General features: G+C 48.8%; 1 protein-coding gene across 16 annotated transcripts in view; it reads right to left on the bottom strand.

Annotated features, from left to right (window-relative positions):
• Positions 1 to 10: 10 nt before the first annotated feature.
• Positions 11 to 8,500, bottom strand: part of NIBAN3 (niban apoptosis regulator 3) — a 32,237-nt gene continuing 23,747 nt past the window's right edge. For 5 of the 16 annotated variants that reach the window (XM_017026453.2, XM_017026454.2, XM_047438389.1 and 2 more), the window contains 3 exons: positions 6,021 to 6,104; positions 5,789 to 5,883; positions 1,705 to 2,235 (listed from right to left, as the gene is read on the bottom strand). In XM_017026453.2, coding sequence (XP_016881942.1) covers positions 1,864 to 2,235; positions 5,789 to 5,883; positions 6,021 to 6,104 — 551 coding nt within the window. In that variant the 3' untranslated portion in view covers positions 1,705 to 1,863. 16 annotated transcript variants of the gene reach the window in all.

Raw genomic sequence — 8,500 nt, 5'->3', positions numbered from 1 at the left:
TGACGTCACCTGCAGCCCTACCCAGGACGCCCCGCCCCCGCACCGATCTTAAAGGCACATAGCGCTCGGAGCGCGTGGAAGGGATGTTAGGGGTAGCGTTAGGGTTAGGAACCCGCGCTTCCTCCAGGCGCCTCCTACCACTGAGACCTCCGCCAGATGCGCCGCCCAATTTCCCCATGTATAAAACCCGGGCTGTGCCACCAGGCGGACTTGGCTACTTAGGACCTGGTTTGGGACCCAAGAGACCTTAGCCTCAGTTTCCTCTGCTGCAACGTGGGTTTTGCCATCCTGGTTTTGGATCTCACAGGGATGTCATTGAGGGTTGTGGAGAATAAAGGTCATGACGTCCACAGACCTGGCGTCACATTCAGTCCCCGCCTTGGGCTTGCTATATGTGAGCCTCAGTCTGTCCATCTATAAAATGAGATCATAGAGACCCTATAGGGTTGGCGTGAAAATAGAGCCAGGGCATGATAATGGACCGTTCTGGGCACAAGCTCTTCCAGAGACAAGGGCCATGTTTTCATGGAAACGCTGTCAAGGGATTGTTTTCCAATACTCTAGAGCCGCATTTTCAAATTGATTGACTTAGTATCACACTTTTTTTTTTTTTTTTTTGAGACGGAGTCTGGCTTTGTTGCCCGGGCTGGAGTGCAGTGGTGCAACATAGCAAGACCGTGCCTCTATTTTTAAAAACAATAAAAACTTTAAAAAATACATCTGAACATTATTATTATTATTATTATTATTTTCTTTTTTTTTTTTTTTGAGACAGCGTCTCACTCCATTGCCCCGGCTAGAGTACAGTGGCGCGATCTCGGCTCACTGCAACCTCCGCCTCCCGGGTTCAAGCGATTCTCCTGCTTCAGCCTCCTGAGTAGCTGGGACTACAGGCACGCGCCACCACGCCCGGCTAATTTTTGTTTATAGTAGAGATGGGGTTTCACCATATTGGCCAGGCTGGTCTCGAACTCCTGACCTCCTGATCCGCCCACCTCAGCCTCCCAAAGTGCTGGGATTACAGGCGTGAGCCACCGCGCCCAGCTTATTATTATTTTCACAGAGAGGGTCTTACTCTGTGGCTCAGGCTAGAGTGCAGTGGCATGATCACATGATCATGGCTCACTGCAGCCTCAACCTCCTGGGCTCAACTGATCCTCCTGCCTCAGCCTCCCAAGTAGCTGGGACTACAAGTGCACTCAACCACGCCCAGCTAATTTTTAAATTTTTTGTAGAGATGGAGTCTCGCTATGTTGCCCCGGCTGTTCTCAAACTCCTGGTCTCAAGTAATCCTCCCCCTTCAGCCTCCCAAACTGCTGGGATTACCAGTGAGCCATCATGCCCCGCTAAAACTTAATTTTTAAGAATGATACAGGCCAGGTGCAGTGGCTCACGCCTGTAATCCCAGCATTTTGGGAGGCTGAGGCAGGCGGATCACTTGAGGTCAGGAGTTCGAGACCAGCTTGGTCAATATGGTGAAGCCCCCATCTCTTCTAAAAACACAAAAAATTAGCCGGTCATGGTGGCGCTTCGCCTGTAATCCCAGCTACTACGGAGGCCGAGGCAGGAGAATCACTTGAACCCAGGAGGTGGAGGTTGCAGTGAGCCAAAATCGCACCACTGCATTCCAGCCTGGGTGACAGAGTGAGACACCGTCTCAAAAAAAAAAAAAAAAAGGTAAAAACAAATTTACACTCTGTGGACTTGATGAGGAAAGGTCTTTTCATATTAAGTAAGAAAAAGGAGGTGACAAGATACATCCCATCCCATCTGGAAGGATTTAGACCCAAGGGCAAACAATGTTTTTCTCAAAAGGGGCAGGATGACAAATTCTTGTAGCTGCAATTGTTCCAGAATTAACATCTACATCCCGTCCGGGGTAAAAGGAAGACAGCTAAAGAAGCCTATGAAGTGCAAATGTATTGAGCAAATGTATTTCGGAAGGTGGGGTTGGAGGGAAATAGGTGGAAAGGTCAGGAATATCTCATTGTCTTGGGGTAGGCCGAAAACTCCAGACAGAATGGGAGGAAACGGTCTCCAGGGAGTGTGAAAGTCCCTCTGCAAGCTGAACCAAGAACACACGGGAATCCCTGTGGAACCCACTCCGGAAGCAGCTGCAAGACAGCAGAGAAGCTGCCAATATCCAGTTAGCAGATGACTTTGCTGGCAAGCAGAGGAAGTCGGTAAAAGCTTGTCTCCCAGCCAGGAAACTTGACACCAAGTTAAGATTTGGAGCTAGGAAACAAACCCAAAAGGCTCACAGCAAGCGGAGAAAAAAACCCCAAAATCTGTAACCTGTATCACAAAGCGTTCATATCCTTCAGATATAAAGAGTTATTAGATATCAATAAGAAAAATGCAAACACTCCTGAAAAGTAGAAAAAAGCTATGAACAGGCAATTCACTGAAATTAAAAAAAAAAAAACTACAAACATGTAAATGGCTAATCAACATATTTGGATTTTGTTTTTTGAGACAGGGTCTCACTCCCATCACCCAGGCTGGAGTGCAGTGGTGCAATCACCACTCACTGCAGCCTTGAGTTCCCAGGCTCAGGTAAATCTCCCATCTCAGCCCAGCTTCTTTTAAATTTTATTTATTTATTTATTTATTTATTTATTTATTTATTTATTTTATTTTTTAGTAGAGACAGGTTTCACCACATTGCCCAAGCTGGCCTCAAAACTCCTTGGCTCAAGCAATCCACCTGTCTCAGCCTCCCAAAGTGCTGGGATGACAGGCGTGAGCCACCACTCCCGGCCGCTAATTTTGTATTTTTTGTAGAGATGAGGTCTCACTATGTTCGCCAGGCTGGTCTTGAACTCCTGAGCTCAAGTGATCTGCCCGCCTCAGCCTCCCAAAGTGCTGGGATTACAGGTGTGCACTGCCACGCCTGGCCATAATAAACTTATTTGTAAGTTCAATTTAGTCAAAGAAATTCAAAATAAAATCATGAGATTTCTGTGTGTGTCTAACTGGCATAGCTTTTTTCTTTTCATGAAAAGTCCTAGTGTTTAGAAAGGATTTGGAGGCTGGACATAGTGGATCACTCCTATAATCCTAGCACTTTGGGAGGCCAAGGCAGGAGGATTGCTTGAGTCCAGGAGTTTGAGATCAGCCTGGGCAGCATAGCGAGACCTTGTCTCTATTATTTAAAAAAAAAAAATTAGGCCACGTGTGGTGGCTCACACCTGTAATCCCAGCACTTTGGGAGGCTGAGGGGGGCAGATCACTTAAGGACAGGAGTTCGAGACCAGCCTGGCCAACATGGTGAAACCCCATCTCTACTAAAAACACAAAAATTAACCAGGCATGGTGGCGGGTGCCTGAAATCTCAGCTACTCGGGAGGCTGAGGCAGGAGAATCGCTTGAACCCGGGAGGCGGAGGTTGCAGTGAGCCGAGATCCTGCCACTGCACTCCAGCCCGGGTGACAGAGCAAGACTCAGTCTCAAAAAAAAAAAAAAAATTAAAATAAAGAAAGCCTTGGGGAAAATACACAAATAAATGCTGCTGCTTGGAGTATAAAATGGTACAGTTTTCTGAAGTTGCAGGGGTTACAAAAGCCTAAAGATGGCACATCCGTTTTGGCCCAGAAATTCCACTTGTAGACATTTATCCAATAGAAACAAGATAGATGTGGGTGAAGATTCAGCTCCGGAATGTTCCTGGAGAAGGCGGTGGGCAGAGTGGCTGGATCTGGGCACCAGAGTCTGGCTGCCTGGGACAAGCCCCTCCTTCCCGCTCAGCCTCAGTTTCCTCATCTGTATAATGGAAAATATACGGACGTCAAAAATCAGATGTGTCAGATGCCTGGCATGTAATAAGTGCTTAAAAAATCAGAGTTAATAGAGATGTTGGCTGGGCGCAATGGCTCATGCCTGTAATCCCAGCACTCTGGGAGACCAAGGATCAGGAGTTCAAGACCAGCTTGGCCAACATGGTGAAACCTCATCTTTACTAAAAATACAAAAATTAGCTGGGCATGGTGGTGGGCGCCTGTAATCCCAGCTACTCGGGAGGCTGAGGCATGAGAATCGCTTGAACCCGAGAGGCAGAGGTTGCAGTTAGCCGAGATCGCGCCATTGCACTCCAGCCCGGGTGACAAGAGCGAAACTCCATCTCAAAAAATAAAAATAAAAAAAAAGAAATGTAGGCCGGGTGCAGTGGCTCACGCTTGTAATCCCAGCACTTTGGGAGGCCGAGGCAGGTGGATCACCTGAGGTCAGGAGTTCAAAATCAGCCTGGCCGACATGGTGAAACCCCATGTCTACTAAAAATACAAAAGTAGCCGGGCGTGGTGGTGGACGCCTGTAATCCCAGCTACTGGGGAGGCTGAGGCAGGAGAATTGCTTGAACCCGCAAGGTGGAGGTTACAGTGAGCCAAGATGCTGCCACTGCACTCCAGCCTGGTGACAGAGCGACACTCCATCTCAAAAAATAAATAAATAAATAAATAAAAAGAAAAAGAAATGTATAAGCAGCCAAAAGATGAAAGGGTGAAGGATAGGAGAGAAGGTTCTCAGAAAAGGAGCTAAAAGCAGCTCCTAAACCTCCCGGACAAAGGTGAGGGGCACCAGTGAGGCTACCCTGGTGGACAGCCCTCTGTTGAAATGACAAACACACATACTTTAAATTCTGAGGGTTCCCATTGCGGGATTTGCCCACAGGAACCTGCATTTGAAAAAAAAAAAAAAAAAAAAAAAGTATGTACAAGATTAATCCCTGTGGCATTGGCTGTTAGTATGGAAGACTAGAAACCAAATGCCTGTTGGTTTGGTTCTGGTTAAATAAATTCAGGGGCCCATCTACAATCCCTCACATCCAATTGCAAATCCTGAAATATTCTAACACTCATGTTTGTATTTGTTAGTTTGTGTTTTTGAGACAGGGTCTCTCTCTGTGGCCCGGGCTAGAGGGCAGTGGTGCAATCATAGTTCAATGCCACCCCATCTCCACGGCTCAAGTAAACCTCCCACCTGGGCCTCCCGGGTAGCTGGGACTACAGGTGCATTCCACCACACCCAACTAATTTTTAAAATTTTTGTAGAGACAGGGTCTTGCTATGTTGTCCAGGCTGGTCTCAAACTCCCAGGCTCAAGCAATCCACCTATCTTGGCCTCCCAGAGTGCTGGGATTCCAGGCATGAGCCACTGTGCCTGGCCTTAGAAGTCTTTCTAGGACTGTTTAACTATTTATCCAAGTTAGTGTAAATATTGATCAGTTTCTCTGTCCCAGATCAGCTAGGAAGTGTATTAGTTAGCTATTGCTGCATAAAAAAATTATCCCCCAAATTATGGCCATCTTGGAAGCTCTTGCTGGTGGTAAACCTAAGGCCCCTGTCACTACAATCTCCCTTTCCAAGTTGGCGACAGGAAGTAGCCATTGGGAGATGCCCCCTAAGTCCTAGGATTAGAGATGGGATACAAAGGCTGGGCCTGGTGGCTCACATCTGTAATCCCAGCACTTTGGGAGGCTGAGGCAGTCAGATCATGTGAGGTCAGGAGTTCGAGACCAGCCTGGCCAACATGGTGAAACCCCATCTCTATTAAAAATACAAAAATTAGCTGGGCATGGTGGCATGTGCCGCCTGTAGTCCCAGCTACTCGGGAGGCTGAGGCAGGAGATTCACTTGAACCTGGGAGGAGGAGGTTGCAGTGAGCTGAGATTATGCATTCCAGCCTGGGCAACAGATCTAGACTCTGTCTCAAAAAAAAAAAAAAGAGAGAGAGAGAGAGAGAGATGGGACACAAATTCACCACAATCTCAGCCCCCCAGGGCTGAGCTCACATGCATGTCAGAGCCTGGGTTTAGAGGGTCCCTCTGTGGCTCAGATGCACTCCACAACTTCCCACTGAGCTTGTTCACGAGCTTGGCCAGGCTGGCTGGGTAAGGAGACAAAGTGCATTCTGTTCCGTCCATGAACCCACACTCATGACAATCCCATACACCCCATGTGGGCCTCCACCTCCCCACCCCCAGCAATCACTGGCATGTTTCAGAAGCCTGTGAAGTTCCCCACCTGCTCCCTCCTGTTCCCATGGGACCTCCAAGCAGCCGTCCAGAGTGCAGGATACATCATTGGCACCAAGGGTCTTTTTCAATTCTGAAATGAGATGAACTCTTGGACACACCTGGGGAAGCCCAGGCATCAAGGGGCTTCCCTGCATTTTCCCAGAGAGACTACAAATGTCTCAAGCAGAAATCCTAAAGAGGTGGCTCACATAGAGCCTCTCTCCAAGCCCGCACCCATGGCAGACATTGCTAACCGATCCCTGCACCCTTCACTGAGCCTGGACACTGCCAGTCCCACCTCCCAACATGCTGCTCTAGGCAGACATCACAAATCAATTCAGGATGGACCCACTTAAGGATACATAAAATCTTTAGGAAGAGAAACTTATTGAGGTCAACTGTTTCTGGATTTAATTCTGCAGTCAGAAAATAGCTTTTATTCCTATTTAAAACTTCTGCTATTTTAAGGAAGCTCCATTTTTCTTGTTTAGATGCTCACAGACACATCCTCTCCCTCATTCCCTGGCTCCCAAGAACCCACCATCTATGGGGGTGTCTCCCAACTCTCTGACCTCACCTTATTTAAAAAAAAAAAAACAACTTTTTTTTGAGATGGAGTCTCGCTCTGTCGCCCAGGCTGGAGTGCAGTGGTGCAATCTCGGCTCACTGCAAGCTCCGCCTCCTGGGTTCACGCCATTCTCCTGCCTCAGCCTCCCAAGTAGCTGGGACTACAGGCATGTGCCACCATGCCCAGCTAATTTTTGTATTTTTAGTAGAGACGGGGTTTCACCATGTTGGCCAAGCTGGTCTCAAACTCCTGACCTCCAGTGATCCACCCTCCTCAACCTCCCAAAGTGCTGGGTTTACAGGCGTGAGCCACAGTGCCTGGCTGCTGAACTCACCTTCTATGTCTGTTCTTCCTCTTTCCTTCAAATGAGGGCTCTTTGAGATTCCCCTCTGTTCTCCACACACCTTCCCTGGCTTGTGGAACCCCTCTCCTTCACTTAGTGACACCTGAAGCCCAACACTTCTGGCACCTCCAGCTCCCACCCGCACCTCCCTCCTAGACTCTGTTCCCTTGGCTGCTGCCCCTGCTCGGGCCTGTCCTTTGTTCCCAGAACCGGGGCCTCAGCCTCCTCCCTCACTTCCAGTCTGGCTTCTGTTGACCTCTGCTCACACACCCTCCATGGCTCCCCACTGCCTGCACCATAAGTCTAAATTCCTCTGCCTGTCATTCAAGGCCTTGCGCATCTTCCAGCAGCCTCCAGCCTCCCGCTCCGTGCCCTTGTGCTGGCTGCATGGATGCTCACATTCCCTGAATCCCCACTGCATCCTGTTCACCCCCCAATCAGTGCACACATCTCAGTGATCATGGGCATTAATTAATCCATGAATGAACTCAGGAAGCAGGAGGGAGAAAGATGTTTCTGGAGCTCCTTCCCAGCTCGGGAGCTCCTAAGAGGCCAACTCCAAGTCTGAAAACCTCTAGGGCCTCAATGCCAGCCCAGAGAAAAACAGGGAGTGGTTGTTAAATGAATAAATTTAAATGTCTATCCGTAGTTTTGTTTGTTTTAAGACGATGTCTCTCACGCCGGTAATCCCAGCACTTTGGGAGGCCAAGTCAGGCGGATCACGAGGTCATGAGTTCGAGACCAGCCTGGCCAACATAGTGAAACCCCATCTCTACTAAAAATTCAAAAATTAGCCAGGTGTGCTGGCATGCACCTGTAGTCCCAGCTACTTGGAGGCTGAGACAGGAGAATGGCTTGAACCCAGGAGGCGGAGGTTGCAGTGAGCCGAGACCATGCCATTGCACTCCTGCCTGGGTGACAGAGTGAGACTCTGTCTCAAAAATAAAATAAAAAATAAAAGATGGAGTCTTGGCCGGGTGCGGTGGCTCACGCCTGTAATCCCAGCACTTTGGGAGCCCAAGGGGGGAGGATCACGATGTCAGGAGTTTGAGACCAGCCTGACCAACATGGTGAAACCCCATCTCTACTAAAAATACAAAAATTAGCCGGGCGTGGTGGCACATGCCTGTAGTCCCAGCTACTCGGGAGGCTGAGGCAGGAGAATCACTTGAACCCAGGAGGCAGAGGTTGCAGTGAGCCAAGATCGTTCCACTGCACTCCAGCCTGGGTGACAGAGCGAGACTCTGTCTCAAAAAAAAAAAAAAAAAAAAAAGACATAGTCTCGTTCTGTCGCCAGGCTGCAGTGCAGTGGCGCGATCTTGTCTCACTGCAACCTCCGCCTCCTGGGTTCAAGCGATTCTGCTGCCTCAGCCTCCCGAGTAGCTGGGACTACAGGCATGTGCCATCATGCCCGGCTAATTTTTTGTATTTTTAGTAGAGACGGGGTTTCACCATGTTGGACAGGCTGGTCTCAAACTCCTGACCTCAAGTGATCTGCCCACCTCAGCCTTCCAAAGTGCTGGGATTACAGGTGTGAGCCACCACACCCAGCCTCTATCAGTAGTTTTTGAACTCT

This window comes from Homo sapiens, chromosome 19 (assembly GCF_000001405.40).
Source record: "Homo sapiens chromosome 19, GRCh38.p14 Primary Assembly".
NCBI classification, from domain to species: domain Eukaryota; kingdom Metazoa; phylum Chordata; class Mammalia; order Primates; family Hominidae; genus Homo; species Homo sapiens.
The sequence above is the reverse complement of the archived record's forward strand: the minus strand, read 5'-3'. Positions and strand labels throughout refer to the sequence as shown.